This window comes from Homo sapiens, chromosome 19 (genome assembly GCF_000001405.40).
Source record: "Homo sapiens chromosome 19, GRCh38.p14 Primary Assembly".
Taxonomy (NCBI): Eukaryota; Metazoa; Chordata; class Mammalia; order Primates; family Hominidae; genus Homo; species Homo sapiens.
In genome coordinates, this window is record NC_000019.10 from 16,882,125 (window position 1) to 16,899,732 (window position 17,608).

Here is a 17,608-nt window from a genome sequence, read left to right on the forward strand (position 1 = left end):
CACAGCAACGGTCATGTCTAATCCTGAGTTATGAGCCTGTTATAATTTGATTAACTGTCTTTGTCCTGCCTCTGTATCCCTGCTTTCACGCCACTGTAAGCCTGCTTCAAGCTAACCCACCCCTTTTTAAAAGTGTGTTTAAGTCAAGTGCTGTCTTTATTCTAGGCCCAGTTTTTAGACGTTGAGTCCAGTGGGTCTGAGTGCACTCAATAAAGATCCTCCTGTATACACCCCAAGGTCTCTCTTTTCCTCCTGTTTCCACAACACTACATGTGATGCTGACAGAGGGTGCTGGGACAGGGGCTTCCAGTGGGGCCCCATGAACATTTATTCTGTTGCTAGTGAGGTGTTTGTCTCACTGGCTTTTGCAACATATAACCAGTGCTTCCCGCCTGATGTCCTCACTTGCTGAGAATGAGGCTAACTACTCCAAACAGCAAACTGAATACCATCCAGCAATCACGTTCCTTTGTATTTGCCCAAAGGAACTGAAAACTTGGGTCCACACAAAAACCTGCACAAGAGATATACGCAGCCTTATTCACCAGTGCCCAAACTCAGACACAACCAAGGCGTCCTTCAGCGGGCAAACGGATAAACCATGTCACCTCCAGACAACAGGATATAAAACGAAATGAGCCATGAAGCTGTGAAGACATGAAGGGGCCAGGCGTGGTGGCTCACACCTATAATTCCAGCACCTTGGGAGGCTGAGGCAGGAGGATCACCTGAGGTCAGGAGTTTGAGACCAGCCTGGCCAACATGGTGAAACCCTGTCTGTCCTGAAAATACAAAAATTGGTCAGGCGTGGTGGCACGCGCCTGTAATCCCAGCTATTCCAGAGGCTGAGGCAGGAGAATTGCTTGAACCTGGGAGGCAGAGGTTGCAGTGAGCCGAGATCACGCTACTGCACTCCGGCCTGGGTGACAGAGCGAGAGTCTGTCTCAAAAAATAAAAGACACAAAGGGGCCTCAAATGCATCTAACTAAGTGAAAGAAGCCAGCCTGGAAAGGCTGCACACTGCATGATTCCAACTATAGAACACTCTGGAAAAGGCAAAAGTATAGAGGCAGTGAAAAGATCTGTGGTTGCCAGGGGGCAGATGGGAGGAAGTAATCCATAGGTGGAGGTGGGAGGATTTTTAGGGCAGTGACGCAACTGTGCGACACTATGGTCAATGGTGGACATATCATGACACATATGTCCAAACCCATGGAAGGTACAGTGCCAAAAGTGAACCCCCATGGAAACGCGGGGTTCCAGAAGACAGAGCCGTGTCCATGCAGCTTTGTCCGTTGCAACAAAGGCACCGCTTTTGGTAAAGGACATAGATAGCGGGGGAGGCTTGCATGTGTGGGGTGGGGTTACATGGGGACTCTGTACCTTCTGCTGAATTTCACTGTGAACCTAAAACTGCTCTAAAAAATAAAGTTTTTTTTAAAAAAGCAATTTGACCCAAAGTCAGTCTCAGGAGGCCAGGGGGTGGGGGACAGAACAGGCCAGGGCAGGAACTTGCAGGGACGGGTGCAGGCAGGCTGAGGTCTCAGGAATGTGTCTGCACCTCTGTGGTTTCCCTTCTCTTCTTCCCTTCTGGGGACCTTTGCAATCTGGGCTGGCTGCTGGGTCCCGCCTAGGTTTCAGATTCTGCCCCACCCTGAGGTTGGCCAGTCCCTTCTCTCTGTGGCTCTGGGAGTGGAGCCTCAGCCCTTGGTACAGTGGAGCAAACAAACTCTGATTTGGGGCCCCAGAGAGGAAGCGCTGGGAATCCAGGGGTTGGACAGGCTGGACCCCAAGCCCTGCTTCCACCATGGCTGTCCGTGCGACCCTGGGAGTGACTGTCAGTCCTGGTGAGACAGGGTCACAGCACCTGCCTCTCATGGCCATTCAACTGGGTTAATGTCCCTGCCCAGCCAGGGAATGAGAGGAGGTGGCACCATGTTTGCTGCTGGAGTGTAATGGCGCGATCTTGGCTCACTGCAATCTCCACCTCCCGGGTTCAAGCGATTCTCCTGTCTCAGCCTCCTGAGTAACTGGGATTACTGGCACGCACCACCACGCCCAGCTAATTTTTGTATTTTTAGTAGAGACAGGGTTTCATCAAATTGGTCAAGCTGGTCTTGAACTCCCAACCTCAGGCGATCCGCCTGCCTCGGCCTCCCAAACTGCTGGGATTACAGGCATGAGCCACCGCACCCAGCCTGCCCATGTGGCTTCTAACTTGTTCCCTGACCCTGACCTTTTGCTGGAGGCAGTGAAGGCAGGAGAGAGTGGAGGCCACATCCAGGAGCTTCCAGGGACCTGAGGGGTTGGAGGACAATGAAATCCAGGACACGCCACTGACTTGCGCCTGTCTGCCAATTTTTCCCCATTTAAAAAAGTTATTTAAAGGGCCAGGTGCAGTGGCTTACACCTGTAATCCCAGCACTTTGGGAGGCTGAGGCAGGCGGCTCGCCTGAGGCCAGAAGTTCGAGGTGGTGAAACTCCACCTCTACTAAAAATACAAAAATTAGCCGGGTGTGGTGGCATGCACCTGTAATCCTAGCTACTCGGGAGGCTGAGGCAGGAGAATCACTTGCACCCTGGAGGTGGAGGTTGCAGTGAGCAGAGACTGTGTCACTGCACTCCAGCCTGAGCAACAGAGTGAGACTCTGTCTCCAAAAAAAAAAAAAAAAAAAAAAAAAGTTATTTGAATTGTGGTCAAGTTTATCTTAATGATTTTTAAGTGTTCAGCTCAGTGGCAGTAAGTACATTCATATTGTCACCATCCATCTCCAGAACTTTTTTTTTTTGGAGACAGAGTCTCGCTCTGTCACCAAGGCTAGAGGGCAGTGGCACAGTCTCTGCTCACTGCAACCTCTGCCTCCCAGGCGCAAGTGATCCTCCCACCTCAGCCTCTCGAGTAGCAGGGACCACAGGTGTATACTACCACACTCGGCTAATTTTTGTATTTTTTTGTAGAGATGGTTGGGGGGGTGTCTCACTTTGTGGCCCAGGCTGGCCTCGAACCCCTGACCTCAAGTGATCCACCTGCCTTGGCCTCCCAAAGTGCAGGGATTACAGGCGTGAACCACCTCACCCAGCCCAGAACTCTTCCATCTTGCAAAACTGAAACACTGTGGCCTTAAGCACTCACTCCCCAATCCCCCTCCCCCAGCCTCTGGCACCCCCCAACCCATTCTACTTCCTGTCTCTATGGAGGTGACCACTCCAGGGACCTCCCATGAGTGGAATGACTCAGGATTTGTCTTTCCGTGACCGGCTTATTTCCCTCAGCATAATGTCCTCAAGATTCATCCACAATGTAGCATATGTCAGAATTCCCTTACTTTTTAAGGCTGCCTTTTTTTTTTTTTTTTTTTTTTTTTTTGGCAGAGTTTCACTCTGTCACCCGGGTGGGAGTGCAGTGGTGCAATCACAGCTCACTGCAGCCTCGACCTCCTGGGCTCAAGCAATCTTCCCACCTCATTTTTTGATTTTTTGTAGAGACAAGATTTCACTATGTTGCCCAGGCTGGTCTTGAACTCCTGAGCCCAAGCGATCCCTCTACCTCGGCCTCCCAAAGCACTGGGATTACAGGCATGAGCCACCACTCTGAAACAGCCCGGCCTGGCTGTCTGCCCTTTTTAAGAAAATAAGATTTTGGCCGGGCGTGGTGGCTCACGCCTGTAATCCCAGCACTTCGGGAGGCTGAGGCGGGTGGATCACCTGAGGTCAGGAGTTTGAGACCTGCCTGGCCAACATGATGAAACCTCGTTTCTACCAAAAATACAAAAATTAGCCAGGCATGGTGGCGGGTGCCTATAATCCCAGCTGCTCGGGAGGCTGAAGCAGGAGAATCGCTTGAATCCAGGAAGCAGAGGTTGCAGTGAGCCGAAATGGCACCATTGCACCTTCAGCCTGGGCAACAAGAGCGAACCTCCATCTCTAAATAAAAAATATTTTGGCCAGGTGCAGTGGCTCATGCCTATAATCCTAGTGCTTTGGGAGGCTGAGGCAGGTGGGTCACCTGAGGTCAGGAGTTTGAGACCAGCCTGGCCAACACGACGAAACTCCGCCTCTACTAAAAATACACAAAATTAGCCGGGCATAGTGGCAGGCGCCTGTAATCCCTGCTGCTGGGGAGGCTGAGGCAGGAGAATTGCTTGAATCCAGGAAGCAGAGGTTGCAGTGAGCTGAGATTGCGCCATTGCACTCCAGCCTGGGCGACTGATCGAGACTCCATCTTAAAAAAAAAAAAAGTTTTTATGGAAAGTAACACAGTGCACAGAAAACTCCAACAGTACAAAACAGACACATGGTTTCCTCTCCTCCAAAGCTGTCGCGCCCAGCGTCCTCCGGGAAGTACCTGGGCAGTGTCGCCTGGGTACAGCTTGTGCCTGACAGGGGCAATGTCATCGTCACCTCTGCTTGCTGGGGTTCCCCCGACAGCCTGTGCTGCCGTGTTGTTCCCGGGGAGGGGCTGTTGGCGGGCACCTCCCTGCTTTGTGCTGCTGTGTGGATATCCTCCCAAGGACATCTTCCTGTGCGTGTGTCTGGCAGAAATTCCTAGACATGGAACCCTTGAGTATAAGGGCATGTGCGTCACTATGTTTTTTTTTTTTTTTTGAGACGCGTTTCACTCTTGTTGCCCAGGCTGGAGTGAGGCTGGAGTGCAATGATGCAATCTCGGCTCACTGCAACCTTTGCCTCCCATGTTCAAGTGATTCTCCTGCCTCGCCTCCCGAGCAGCTGGGATTACAGGCATATGTCACCATGCCTAGCTAATTTTGTATTTTTACTAGAGATGGGGTTTCTCCATGTTAGTCAGGCTGGTCTCGAACTCCCAACCTCAGGTGATCCACCCGCCTCTGCCTCCCAAAGTGCTGGGATTACAGGTGTGAGCCACTGTGCCTGGCTTTTTTTTTTTTTTTTTTTTTTTTTTGAGTCGGAGTCTCGCTCCGTTGCCCAGGCTGGAGTGCAGTGGTGTGATCTCAGCTCACTGTAACCCCTGCGTCCTGGGTTCAAGAGATTTTCCTGCCTCAGCCTCCTGAGGAGCTAGGACTACAGACGTGCGCCACCATGTCTGGCTAATTTTTGTATTTTTAGTAGAGACGGGTTTTCACCATGTTGGCCAGGACGGTCTCGATCTCTTGACCTCGTGATCCACCCACCTGGCCTCCCAAAGTGCTGGGATTACAGGCGTGAGCCATTGCGCCCGGTCGTGCATCACTATTTTGATGCATCATCTTCAAACCACCCTGCCCCAGCATCACTGGACTGCCGGTGTGCCCAGCCTCCCCTGCACAGCTTCCCACTCTGCTCACAGAGAAGACGGTGGAGGGGGGAGCCCAGGCGTGGGTTTTCCGTGTGCTGAGGGTGTCCTCAGCCACCTTTTTCCCCAAGTCATTGACGTGAAGCTGATTTTCTCATTGGTGGCCATGGAAACTGCCCAGAAATGGGAGCAGGGCCTCTGAGACCCTGCCCCAGCTAGACTCTCTCTCCAGGCTTCAGTGTCTCCTCCTGGAGCTGGGTGTTGACTCTGTCCAAGACTCTGCTCAGTCACTTCCTGGCTGATCCCCGAGTGCTCAAGTGTGTGATGAGATTAGGGCTCCCCCAGGCAGGAAACGGCCACATTGGACCCCTCCCTCCCCCATCCCTAGTTCATTTTATTTTCCCCAATCCTCATGGCTCCCAACTAGGCCCTCCTGCTCCCAGACCCCCCCAAGCCCTGTCCCCCATCCCCTGTAGCCCAGCGCTGAGCACACTGGGGCCAGAACCACCCATACCAGACTCCCCCAGGGCACGACGGGTTGAGGCCTCTCTGAGGCAGGGAGGGACAACACTGAGGGGCCTTGTGCAGAAGAGGGAAGGGGTACCCCCCCGAGCTTCAGTTTCTTCATCTGCCCGATGAGCCCCCATCCAATGGTACCCAGGAGTGGGGATGTGCTGGGGCTAGAGGAGGGAGGCCCCCTGGAGGCTGGCTTGGGGACCCTTCAACCTGGCCACCTCACTCAGGGTCAGAGGTCAGAGCAGGCGAGCCACACACCCCGAAGTCCCCCCGGTCCTCGGCAGGTGCTGTCCCCAGCATCACTGTCTCCCCTACAGATGCCCGTGTGTCCCCTGGGCAAGAGTGAAGTGAGGCACTCATACAGGGGTGCCTTGTGAGTATGGGGTCAGCCGAGGATGCTGAGGGGCTCTCGAGGTTCAGCCAGAGTCCCTGACGCTGGGCTCGTGCTGCTCTGGGGGTCTGAAGGGACCCTCGCTATTACCCTCTGGGAGGCGCCCATCCTTGGTTTTTTTTTTTTTTTTTGCCGAGTCTCGCTCTGTTGCCCAGGCTGGAGTGCAGTGGCAAGATCTCGGCTCACTGCAACCTCCACCTCCTGGGTTCAAGCAATTCTCCCACCTCAGCCTCCTGAGTAGCTGGGACCACAGGCATCTGCCACCAAGCCCAGCTAATTTTTGTATTTTTATGAGAGATGGGGTTTCTCCATGTTGGTCAGGCCGGTCTCAAACTCCCAACCTCAGGTGATTTGCCTGCCTTGGCCTCCCAAAATGTTGGGATTACAGCCGTGAGCCACCGTGCCTGGCCTAGCAGGGCTCTTCTTATCCTGCTCACCAGAGATAGGAAGTCGGGGGGTGACTTCAGGAAAGGCCCAGAGCCCGTGATGGGCGTGGGGATTGGGGTGAGGACAGGGCTGTCGTGAGAACAGTGGCTGCAGATGTGAGCGGCTGGCAGGAAGTGGCCACTTGAACCGCAGATGCTTCCTGGGCTGGTCAGGGACCGGGGGTGCTGGCTGCAGCTGGGACCCCCCCCCCTGCATCTTGCTGGCCTGGCACCTGGGTCCCTGGGAGGCGCCACACTGGATATAGCCACGTGGGGCAGCCCGGTCTCCATAACCCACACTCCAGTCCTCCCACGGGCTGGCTGGCAAGCGGCCCTGGTGGGTCTGCGGGGGCAGGGGCAGCCTTCCTGGTTTATCTCTACCGGCGCGATCTGCTCGTCCGCCTCGGCTCCAGAAGCTGGGGCTCAGGGTCCGGCGAGGCAGGAAGCCTGAGGCCACAGCCCAGAGCAGCCTGAGTGCAGTCATGTGGGGGCGACTGCTCCTGTGGCCCCTGGTGCTGGGGTTCAGCCTGTCTGGCGGCACCCAGACCCCCAGCGTCTACGACGAGAGCGGGAGCACCGGAGGTGGTGATGGTGAGTGGTCCTGGCTTTGGGGTGCAGAGATGGGGTTACATCAGAGATGGAGCTGGGGGCCCGGAGCTGGGGAGGGGGAGGCCGGGAAGTTGCGGGCTTCAGCCCAGCCCACTCTGTATCCCGTCTCTGACCCCATAGGGCTGGGCTATTCCCTTGAGTGTCATGTCCAGCTGTTTCCCACCAGGGCAGACCCCAGGCTCTGAGCACCTCCCTCCCTGCTGCTTCTCGTCACCTGCCGAGGCAGGGGCTGACTGAGGTCCCCTCTCTCTCCCAGACAGCACGCCCTCAATCCTGCCTGCCCCCCGCGGCTACCCAGGCCAAGTCTGTGCCAATGACAGTGACACCCTGGAGCTCCCGGACAGCTCACGGGCACTGCTTCTGGGCTGGGTGCCCACCAGGCTGGTGCCCGCCCTCTATGGGCTGGTCCTGGTGGTGGGGCTGCCGGCCAATGGGCTGGCGCTGTGGGTGCTGGCCACGCAGGCACCTCGGCTGCCCTCCACCATGCTGCTGATGAACCTCGCGGCTGCTGACCTCCTGCTGGCCCTGGCGCTGCCCCCGCGGATCGCCTACCACCTGCGTGGCCAGCGCTGGCCCTTCGGGGAGGCCGCCTGCCGCCTGGCCACGGCCGCACTCTATGGTCACATGTATGGCTCAGTGCTGCTGCTGGCCGCCGTCAGCCTGGATCGCTACCTGGCCCTGGTGCACCCGCTGCGGGCCCGCGCCCTGCGTGGCCGGCGCCTGGCCCTTGGACTCTGCATGGCTGCTTGGCTCATGGCGGCCGCCCTGGCACTGCCCCTGACACTGCAGCGGCAGACCTTCCGGCTGGCGCGCTCCGATCGCGTGCTCTGCCATGACGCGCTGCCCCTGGACGCACAGGCCTCCCACTGGCAACCGGCCTTCACCTGCCTGGCGCTGTTGGGCTGTTTCCTGCCCCTGCTGGCCATGCTGCTGTGCTACGGGGCCACCCTGCACACGCTGGCGGCCAGCGGCCGGCGCTACGGCCACGCGCTGAGGCTGACCGCAGTGGTGCTGGCCTCCGCCGTGGCCTTCTTCGTGCCCAGCAACCTGCTGCTGCTGCTGCATTACTCGGACCCGAGCCCCAGCGCCTGGGGCAACCTCTATGGTGCCTACGTGCCCAGCCTGGCGCTGAGCACCCTCAACAGCTGCGTGGATCCCTTCATCTACTACTACGTGTCGGCCGAGTTCAGGGACAAGGTGCGGGCAGGGCTCTTCCAACGGTCGCCGGGGGACACCGTGGCCTCCAAGGCCTCTGCGGAAGGGGGCAGCCGGGGCATGGGCACCCACTCCTCTTTGCTCCAGTGACACAAAGTGGGGAAGGCTGTACTGGGTCGAACAGGGTCCCTTCCCCCACTTCACGTCCTTCCTGGGACCTCAGAATGTGACCTTATTTGGAAATAGGGTTGTTACAACTGTCACTAGCGGAGGTCACTTTGGAGAAGGGTGGGCCTTACATCCAGTGTGGGTGGTGTCCTCATAAGATAAGGAGAGGCCAGGCCTGGTGGCTCACGCCTGTAATCCCAGCACTTTAAGAGGCCAAGGCGGATGGATCACTTGAGCCCAGGAGTTCAACACCAGCCTGAGCAACATGGTAAAACCCCATCTCTACCAAAAATACAAAAATTAGCTGGGCTTGGTGGCTGGCGCCTGTAATCCCAGCTACTCAGGAGACTGAGGCAGAAGGATCGCTTGAACCTGGGAGGCAGAGGTTGCAGTGAGCCGAGATTGCGCCACTGGACTCCAGCCTGCGTGACAGAGAGCCTGTCTCTAAATTAATTAATTAATTAATTTAATTCAATTTTAAAAAGACGAAAAGTGACGGCCAGGTGCAGTGGCTCACGCCTATAATCTCAGCACTCTGGGAGGCCAAGATGGAGGATTGCTTGAAGCCAGGAGTTTGGGACCAGCCTGGGCAACATAGGGGGATCCCATCTCTACACACAAAAAAATTTTTTAATGAACCAGGCATTGTGGCATGCGCCTATAGTCCCAGCCACTCAAGAGGCACAGGCGGGAGGATCACTTGAGCCTGGGAGGTTGTGGTTGCAGTGAGCTATGATTGTACCACTGCACTCCAGCCTGGGCAACAGAGCAAGACCTTGTCTCAAAAATAAACAAACTAAAATTAAAAAAAGAAGACGAGAGATAGTGGGTGTGGTGGCTCACACCTGCAATCCCAGCACTTTGGAAGGCCGAGGTGGGCAGATCATCTGAGGCCAGGAGTTCAAGACCAGCCTGGCTAACATGGTGAAATCCTATCTCTACCAAAAATACAAAAATTAGCCAGGCGTGGTGGTGGGCACCTGTACTGGGGAGGTGCCCACCCAGCTACTGGGGAGGCTGAGTCAGGAGAATCGCTTGAACCTGGGAGGCGGAGGTTGCGGTCAGCTGAGATGGTGCCACTGCACTCCAGCCTGGGCGAAAGAGCGACTCTGTCTCCAAAAAAAAGAGAAGAGGAGAGGACACAGAGACACACAGAGAAGAAAGCCATGTGGCGGCAGAGGCAGAGATGGGAGTGATGCGGACGGACACAAACTAAGGGATGCCACGATGCCAAGCACAGCCAACAGCCACCAGCAGCCAGGAGACAGGCCTGGGACGGGCTCTCCCTCACAGCCTCCAGAGGGAACCAGCCCTGCCACCACCTTGACCCTGGACTTCTGGCCTGCAGAACTGTGAGACAATAAACTCTCATTGTTTTAAGCTGCCTGGCATGTGGCACTTTGTCAGGGCAGCCCAGGAATCTGAAACAGGATCAAACTCTGCTTCCTGGGCCCTGCCAGCATCTCTGGCTCGGCTTTCTGGGCTGGATGCAGCCCACGACGCACTGGTGTCTGAGATGGGGCTGGAGCTGGGGCTGGGGCTGCATTCCCTGGAGACTCACTGCAAGTTCCTGCCCAGGAGGCTGAGGGCACCCCATCCTCAGTGCCCAATGCTGTGGCCCCACCAGGCCCAGAGCCTGGTTGGCCATTCTCATGCCCACCAGCTTCTGGCTTTGGGATGTCTCTTGAGCAACCAGAATAGCACCCCCAACTCTGCTCCCCAAAACCCATCACTAGCACGGCTCAGCCTCCTGCTATCCCCTGACTGCTGGGGACCCTCGCCTTCCCTCCTCTCACCTGCAGGCTGATCCTTCTTTTCACTTTCTGTCAATGTCACCAGGGATAAGGTGGGACAATGGGGGGTGGGGGTGGACAGTGTGTGCTGGGGGGTTCGGGTGCTGCAGACCTGGAACTCCCTTCTGCCAGGATGTTGGCAGCCGGTTGTAAGCCTTGCACGGGACAGACCACAAGGGGCCATGCCAGTGGCTGTGGAGGACACAGCTGGTGTGTGGGGAAGGGGAGAAGCCTCAGCACCTGGTGCACAAACACACACACAGACACAGACACACACACACACAGAGACACCGCTGCTCACTCCAGGGAGTGGCACAGGGCAGTTTCAAAGACCACTGGGGCATGAACTATGGGGGCAAGGCAGAGGGTTGGAGGGCCACTGTTGGGCTCCTCATTGGGTCTATGTCTCTGATCAGCCCAACTTTGGGCAGCCCTGGGCTGGGGGTGTCAGGTGCCCGGGACACACACATGCACACACACACACATGCACACACAAAGTTCATGTGCACCCCAGAACATGTGAGTAAGATCAGTAACGTGTATTCTTGTCAATATCCTGGAGTGATCATTTACCAGAGTTTTCTGAGATGTTAACCACAGGCACAAGCTGGGTGTGTGGGTATGAATGGTCCCCAGGACCAAACTGCGGTCCCACAACTGCATGTGGTTGTAGGATTATCTCAAGGTGCAGGTGTTTGACATCCATAAACCCTCCTCCCCACCACTCTGAAAGGCTGGGCTGTAGACGAAGACAGGGCTCAGAAGCCCTGGCCTGTGGGCCCCCACCACCCGGCCACTATGTCTCTGAGGGGCCGGAGTCTGGCCCCATCTGTGGAACGGGCTGGCGCTCTGGGTGCTGCTTTCCAGGTTCCCGCTGCTCACAGGAGGCCGAGGCCCGGCTGTGACCCTGGAGATGAGGTTTTATCTTACAACATCCTCTACAGCAAGTGGGCACGGGGCCTCGGGCTGAGGAAGGAGCCACAGGGCCTGTCGCTTGTAGGGTGCCAGGGGTGGGGAACCCACCGGCCAGGGCAGCCTCAGACCTTGATCTCACAGGCAGCGAGGGGCCTCCGTGCTGGCAGAGATCAGGGCTGAGCGGTGTTGGCTGAAATAAATACCACCCCGGAGAAGATGGGCAAATGCAGACATAAGCAGGTGCCAGGGGTCACAAAGGGGAATCAAAGTCTGCTGGTACTGGTGGCAGGCAGCTGGTAGGGCCCCCCAAGGCAGGCAGGTTCTGGGCCTGGGGGCCCTGGGAGTGGGCTGGTCCTCTGGGCACGAGGACATCAGGAACTCACGGTGAGGAAGCACCGGGGTCACCCAGCCCCGGCAGCCGGAAGCTGAAAGTGCATTTGCTGAGAGCCATCTGCTTCCCCGCAGGGCCTTGTGATGTGAGCCCGAGGTCCCCGGGGGGCGAAGGCAGAGGGTGCGAGAGCTGGGACAGTCTTAGGGCAATTTGGGGTCCTGGGTGCCCCAAAGGGAGGCCGGGGCTTTGTGTTTCAGAGAAACGCAGCCTGTTCCGTTTTGAAGTTGCCCACCGGCTGGATGTTTTGCTAATTTAGTCCACATCGTGTTTGCTCAGAAAGAGGCTTTTGGCCACACGAGTGCTTTCTGGGAATGTTTCTTCTCCCGGGAACAGAATGTCAGGCTGTGGGAGCTGCCGTGGCCCCAGGAAAATGATGCCCAGCTCCAAGGCTGGGGGGTTGGGGTGCTTGGAGCTCCAGCTGTAGCTAGGAAGGTGGGGGATCTCCCAAGGGACCTCCAGCTGTCCCCCCTGCACCACACCGGTGACTGCTGAGCCCACACCTGGGTCCCAAGAGTCTCATCCTAGGGACGGGCAGATCTCTGTCATTCTGTTCCTTGGGTTCATTTAGAGGCAGGTGTCACCTGGGCTGAGGTCTGCCCACCCACCATACAGAGTCACAGGCTGATAGGGACAGGATGCAGCCAGATGGTGTCGTCCTGCTCTCAGCAGGGCAGCCGTTAGGAAGAGAAGCCGCTCTGACTGGCCAGGAGAGGAGAAAGATTCCTATGGGGCCGCCAGGACTTCGGGATGGGACCCCACACCCCTTTCCTGAACCCAACTCCACGGGGCTCAGGCCAGCTGCCACCTCCTCATTTAGATGGCAGAACCCCAACTGGATGGGGGACACATGGCCCAGGCCTGGCACTGTACAACTCTGCCTCCTTTCCCCTTCCAGTGGACCACAGTGATGGGCTCTGGGTGTCCATGTGCGGTAAGAGGGGAGTAGCTTGTGTCAGACCACCAACCAAATCGAAAAGCTACCCATAGCACACTACCCAGCAATACAAAAGAACAAACTCCAGGCCGGGCACAGTGGCTCACGCCTGTAATCCCAAAGCTTTGGGAGACTGAGATGGGAGGATCACTTGAGCCCAGGAATTTGAGGCTGCAGTGCACAATGATCATGTCTATGAACAGCCATGGCACTCCAGCTTGGGCAACATACAGAGACCCCATCTCTACAACACACACACACACACACACACACACACACACACACACACTAGCTGGGCGTGGTGGTAGTGTGTGCCTGTGGTCCCAGCTACTCAGGAGGCTGAGGCAAGAGGATCACTTGAGCTCAGGAGGTCAAGGCTGCAGTGAGCCATGACCACGCCACTACACTCCAGCCTGGGCAACACAGTGAGACCTCGTTTGAAAAATAAAAGAATAGGCCTGGCATGGTGGCTCATGCCTGCAATACCAGCGCTTTGGGAGGCCAACGCGGGTGGATCACCTGAGGTCAAGAGTTCAAGACCAGCCTGGCCAACATGGTGAAACCCCACCTCTACTAAAAATACAAAAAAAATTAGCCGGGCATGGTGGCGGGCCCCTGTAATCCCAGCTTCTGGGGAGGCTGAGACAGGAGAATCGCTTGAACCCAGGAGGCGGAGATTGCAGTGAGCCCAGATTAAAAAAAGAATAAACTATGGATACACGAAACAACACAGGTGAATGCAAGGGAATCATGCTCCAAAGATTATCCGCTCTGATTCCATTTACCTGGCATTCTCAAAATAACAAAATTACAGACGGGTAGGGGGAAAATGGCTTAGTGGTTGCAGGTGTTGAGGGGAGAGATGAAGTTATGGAAGAGCAGCTGGAAGGATCCTGTGCAGATGGGCTGTTTGTTGACTATGGTTGAGATTACACAAATCTGCCCATGAGGAAACCGCACACTGTTAACTACAGGCAAAACTTCCCTAGTCCAAAAATCCTAAATCTGAAATGTTCCAAAATCCAAGTCTTTTTGAGCAGCGACTTGACGTGCTCAAAGGCAATGCTCATTGGGGCATTTCAGATTTTTAGATTAGGGATGCTGAACCTTAGCTAACTATATAATGCAAGCATTCTGAAATGTGAAAAAATCTGAAATCCGAAACACTGCTGGTCCCCCCAGCATTTCGGATAAGGGATCCTTGACCCGTATGCGCGCGCGCGCGCGCACGCACACACACACACACACACACACACGCGCGCGTGCGCCCGCGCACAGCTGTTCGCTGGTGGGTGTTGCGTGGGCCAGGGTGGAGGGAGGATGAATGTCCCACTTTGTCCCCAGGAACTCTGAGCCTCTGACCCTGAGTCACTCCCACTGCCAGTGGGGGGTCGGGGCGGGGCGGAGGAGTCGGGGCAGGTCGTCGGGGGAGGTTGGTAGGGGAGGGAGGTGGGGAGATATTGAGCCTATGTCTCTTATCTCTGGGGTGGGCCCAGCTGTTACCTGTCCTCCGCCTCCCCTTCAGGCTCAGGGTCTGAGTCCTCCACCTCAAGGCCGGCTCCATTCAGCTTCACGTCCTGCTGTAAAGGCCCCGGGGCCACAGAAGCCAGGTCATCCCCGTAGGTGGAGGACGACGAGGCCGGCAGCCGCTGCTCTGGAAGGAAGGGGGCCTCGGTCGGGAGGGCGTGGCGGGGAGGGGACCCAAGGGCCGAGGGGAGGAGATCCGTGGCCCAGAGCAGCAGCGATGGTGTCCCCGAGGCTAGGCGGGGGGTAGGGTCCTCACCGAGGGCGCAGCAGCTGGGAGGCGCGGGCTCCAGGGGCGCGGCCTGGCGGCAGGCGGCCTCCCGCAGGCGGCAGGCGCTGGCGTAGACCACCCCGTCGGAGCCGCACACCGGGTTCCCCTGGGCGCCGCAGTCGTGGTCGCAGCCGCATCGCGCGATCGCCGCCCCCTCCTCAGGGGCCACGGCAGGGCCCGACTCGCCGGGGAACCAGCCTGGGGGACGAGGCAGGCTCGACAGACCCCCCACCCTGAACCTTGCCCGCGCCCCCACAGAACCTGGGGGTGGGGAAGATGTCCCTGGGTCCCGGGCCCACTACCCCCTCGGTGGGTCTTGGGGCGCGACAGTTAATGGGAGGTCCTGAGCCCTGGCCTTATGGAATTTCACGCAGGTATTTGCCTAATACTTACAAAAACAGAAACAGACTTTTAAAAAGCGGTTGTAGGAGAGAAAGGAGACAGGGCGTCCTGTCTGGGCCGCCCTGCAACAACAGCCCCGTCCCCTGCCGCGCCTCCTCCGCACTGACCACACCCACCCCAACCCCACCCCCACCGCACTGACCGCTCCTATCCTCAACCCCGCCCCCTCCGCGGTGACCACACCTACCCTCAACCCCGCCCCCTCCGTCCTGACCACTCTTAACCCCGCCCCCTCCGCACTGACCACACCCACCACAAATCCCGCCCCTCAGCGCTGACCGCACCCACCCTCGACCCCGCCCCCCGCACTGACCACACCCACCGCAACCTCATCCCCTCAGCACTAACCACATCCACTCTCAACCCCGTCCCCTTCGCACTGACCACACCCACCCCGTTCGGCCCCGCCCCCCGCACTGAACACACCCGCCCTCAACCCCGCACCCTCCGCACTCACCTCCCCCTCGCCGCTCGACCCCGCCCTCACCACACTGACCACCCTCAACCCATTGCGCCCAGTCCCCACCACAGTGACCACACCCTCACTGGCTCGGCCCTGCCCCCAGTATACTGACCATTCCCCAGCCACTTCCCTTCCGCACTTACCACTCCCCCAGCCACGCCCCTCCCCGCTGACCGCTCCTCCAGCCCCGCCTCCCCCGTACAGGCAGAGCGCCCGCCCACCTCTATGCTGCGTTCTCCTGACTTTACGTTGGCCCCTCCTCTGCCAAGCCCCCAGGGGAGCCCTCCCTGGCGTCCGAGGGTGGGAGTCGGGGTGTGGCAGGCCGCGGTGGGGGGCGGCAGTGGCTCCGCGCACTCACCCGGGCCCCGGGCAGGGGCGCGCTCCACTTCGTTGCACGCGGGTCCGGCGCACAGTTCCCGGGCGAGTGGGCTGTGGGTGCTGACGTTGTAGAAGCGAGTGGCCTCGAAGGCTACGGGACGAGGGTGGCGGGTGACCAAGTGCAGGCGCGACGGGTCAGGGACCGGGCCGGGCCGGGGGTGCGGGCGCGCGGGCCTACCGGGTTCGTAGTAGTCGTACACGGAGACTGGCAGCGCCGACGTCCTGCCCACCACGCACTCCCGGAGAGCACGGAACCGCACGCACGTCAGGCACCGGCTGGGGATCTGTGGGGCAGCGGCGGGCGCAGGCTCGACCCGGGCCAGGAGGCCCGGGGCGCTGAGCTCAGGCCCAGAACTGGCTGATTTCAGGGATACCCAGGACGCGTGAAACACAGAAGAAACGTGATCCCATTTTCTTTTTTTCTTTTACTTTTCTTTTTTTTTTTTTTTCCTGAGACAGAGTCTCGCGCTGTTGCCCAGGCTGGAGTGCAGTGGCGTGATCTCGGCTCACTGCAAGCTCGGCCTCCTGGGTTCAAATGATTCTCCTGCCTCAGCCTCCCAAGTAGCTGGGATAACAGGCGCCCACCACCGCACCCTGCTAATTTTTTGTATTTTTGATCAAGACGGAGTTTCACCATGTTGGCCAGGCTGGTCTCCAACTCCTGCCCTCAAGTGATCCGCCTCGGTCCCATTTTTTATTCTTTGGGTCCTTCCATCCCACTGGGAAAACGTCTCAGGTGGCCTCTGAAACACCACTCCTTTTTGTGTGTGTGCACGCATGGCTGAGCATGTGTGGGTGGGAGTCAGCACATTCACGATACTGTGCAATCATCACCTCTGTCTAGTTACAGAACGGTTTCTTTCTCCCCCAAAGAAACCCCATCGCCATCAGCACTCACTCCCCACTCCCCCAGCCCCTGGCAACCACAAATCTTTCCAACTCTACGGATTTGCCTGTTCTGGGCATTTCATGTCAATGGAATCATGTACTCTGTGGCCTTTTGTGTCTGGCTTCTTTCACTCAGCATCATGTTTCTGAGGTTCATCCATGCTGTAGCATGGATCAATGCTTCGCTCCTTCCTACAGATGGATAATATCCACTGCGGCCCCTCCCTGCTTTTTCTACCAACTGCCATCAGCCGAGGGCACAGAGCTGTCAGCATGGCCAACTCTGCCTGGAATTTATTCTCCCAGTGTCTTATTTTTTTTTGTTTTTTTTTAGACAAGGTCTTGCAGGTCTTGCTCTGTCACCCAAGCTGGAGTGCAGTGGCACAATCTCAGGTCACCACAACCTCCGCCTCCCAGGTTCAAACGACTCTCCTGCCTCAGCCTCCCAAATAGCTGGGATTACAGTAGCGTGCCATCACACCTGGCTAATTTTTGTGTTTTTTGTAGAGACAGGGTTCTGTCATGTTGGCCAGGCTGGTCTTGAACTCCTGATCTCAGGTGATCCACCTGCCTCAGTCTCCCAAAGTGATGGGATTGCAGGCGTAAGCCAAAGGGCCTGGGCACTTTTTTATATTTTTTGTAAAGATGGGGTCTCGCCATGTTGCCCAGGCTGGTCTCGAACCCCTGAGCTCAAGTGATCCTCCCACCTCGGCTTCCCAAAGTGCTGGGATTACAGGCATGAGCCACCATGCCCGGCCCCAGTGTCTTTTTTATGGTACAAGATACTTGCAGGGAGCCACACCAGGCAGTGACCGGTGCACCCTCACCAACATGCACACCAGGGAAGCCTCCTCCACCAACCCCGGCTGGTGGTACCTCATCAAAGTAGAAGAGCACTCGGCGTCCAGCCACTTCATACCTCTTCATCCCCATGTGCTTGTCAAGGAGCAGCTGCAGAGGAAGCCAGAAGTCAGGGTCCTCAGACTCTCTACTTGCTTCCTCTCCCATCCCCTGGGGGCAGTGGTCAGTGGGATGCTTGGACTTGCCCACAAGTTACCATGGGCTGGGGTCTGGGTGCTGGTCAGTGCTCCCCAGGCCCTGCCAGCCTCTCAGCACCCAGGAGAGGACGCTCAA

The 17,608-nt window shown here is 57.4% G+C and overlaps 2 protein-coding genes across 16 annotated transcripts in view, besides 8 other annotated features; one reads left to right on the forward strand and one right to left on the reverse strand.

Annotated features, from left to right (window-relative positions):
• Positions 3,959–4,459: an enhancer, noted in NCBI's record as "H3K4me1 hESC enhancer chr19:16996894-16997394 (GRCh37/hg19 assembly coordinates)". NCBI's record gives its function as "activates a minimal SCP1, AML or CMV promoter by ChIP-STARR-seq in primed H9 embryonic stem cells {active_cell/tissue: H9 hESC(primed)}" and the evidence as "EXISTENCE:reporter gene assay evidence [ECO:0000049][PMID:30033119]".
• On the forward strand, positions 6,875–10,482 carry F2RL3 (F2R like thrombin or trypsin receptor 3). The gene is made up of 2 exons (NM_003950.4): positions 6,875–7,174; positions 7,449–10,482. The coding sequence occupies exons 1-2, from the start codon at positions 7,066–7,068 to the stop codon at positions 8,495–8,497; spliced, it is 1,158 nt and encodes a 385-aa protein (NP_003941.2). The 5' UTR covers positions 6,875–7,065; the 3' UTR covers positions 8,498–10,482.
• Positions 7,550–8,149: an enhancer, noted in NCBI's record as "H3K27ac-H3K4me1 hESC enhancer chr19:17000485-17001084 (GRCh37/hg19 assembly coordinates)". NCBI's record gives its function as "activates a minimal SCP1, AML or CMV promoter by ChIP-STARR-seq in naive H9 embryonic stem cells {active_cell/tissue: H9 hESC(naive)}" and the evidence as "EXISTENCE:reporter gene assay evidence [ECO:0000049][PMID:30033119]".
• CPAMD8 (C3 and PZP like alpha-2-macroglobulin domain containing 8) overlaps positions 10,827–17,608 on the reverse strand; it is a 133,860-nt gene continuing 127,078 nt past the window's right edge. For 5 of the 15 annotated variants that reach the window (XM_011527917.2, NM_015692.5, XM_047438613.1 and 2 more), the window contains 6 exons: positions 17,351–17,425; positions 15,765–15,870; positions 15,567–15,677; positions 14,332–14,541; positions 14,052–14,202; positions 10,827–11,215 (listed from right to left, as the gene is read on the reverse strand). In XM_011527917.2, the coding sequence (XP_011526219.1) occupies positions 10,984–11,215; positions 14,052–14,202; positions 14,332–14,541; positions 15,567–15,677; positions 15,765–15,870; positions 17,351–17,425 (885 nt within the window). In that variant the 3' untranslated portion in view covers positions 10,827–10,983. Of the gene's footprint in view, positions 13,488–14,051; positions 14,203–14,331; positions 14,542–14,736; positions 14,824–15,566; positions 15,678–15,764; positions 15,871–17,350; positions 17,426–17,608 lie in introns of those variants that run through there. The other 10 variants (XM_047438612.1, XM_011527919.2, XM_011527922.2 and 7 more) reach the window with 9 other exon arrangements.
• Positions 11,301–11,440: an enhancer, noted in NCBI's record as "active region_14250". NCBI's record gives its function as "activates an Ori minimal core promoter by ATAC-STARR-seq in GM12878 lymphoblastoid cells {active_cell/tissue: GM12878}" and the evidence as "EXISTENCE:reporter gene assay evidence [ECO:0000049][PMID:35858748]".
• Positions 12,091–12,190: an enhancer, noted in NCBI's record as "active region_14251". NCBI's record gives its function as "activates an Ori minimal core promoter by ATAC-STARR-seq in GM12878 lymphoblastoid cells {active_cell/tissue: GM12878}" and the evidence as "EXISTENCE:reporter gene assay evidence [ECO:0000049][PMID:35858748]".
• Positions 12,291–12,340: an enhancer, noted in NCBI's record as "active region_14252". NCBI's record gives its function as "activates an Ori minimal core promoter by ATAC-STARR-seq in GM12878 lymphoblastoid cells {active_cell/tissue: GM12878}" and the evidence as "EXISTENCE:reporter gene assay evidence [ECO:0000049][PMID:35858748]".
• Positions 14,722–14,801: a silencer, noted in NCBI's record as "silent region_10316". NCBI's record gives its function as "represses an Ori minimal core promoter by ATAC-STARR-seq in GM12878 lymphoblastoid cells {active_cell/tissue: GM12878}" and the evidence as "EXISTENCE:reporter gene assay evidence [ECO:0000049][PMID:35858748]".
• Positions 14,852–15,071: a silencer, noted in NCBI's record as "silent region_10317". NCBI's record gives its function as "represses an Ori minimal core promoter by ATAC-STARR-seq in GM12878 lymphoblastoid cells {active_cell/tissue: GM12878}" and the evidence as "EXISTENCE:reporter gene assay evidence [ECO:0000049][PMID:35858748]".
• Positions 15,142–15,661: a silencer, noted in NCBI's record as "silent region_10318". NCBI's record gives its function as "represses an Ori minimal core promoter by ATAC-STARR-seq in GM12878 lymphoblastoid cells {active_cell/tissue: GM12878}" and the evidence as "EXISTENCE:reporter gene assay evidence [ECO:0000049][PMID:35858748]".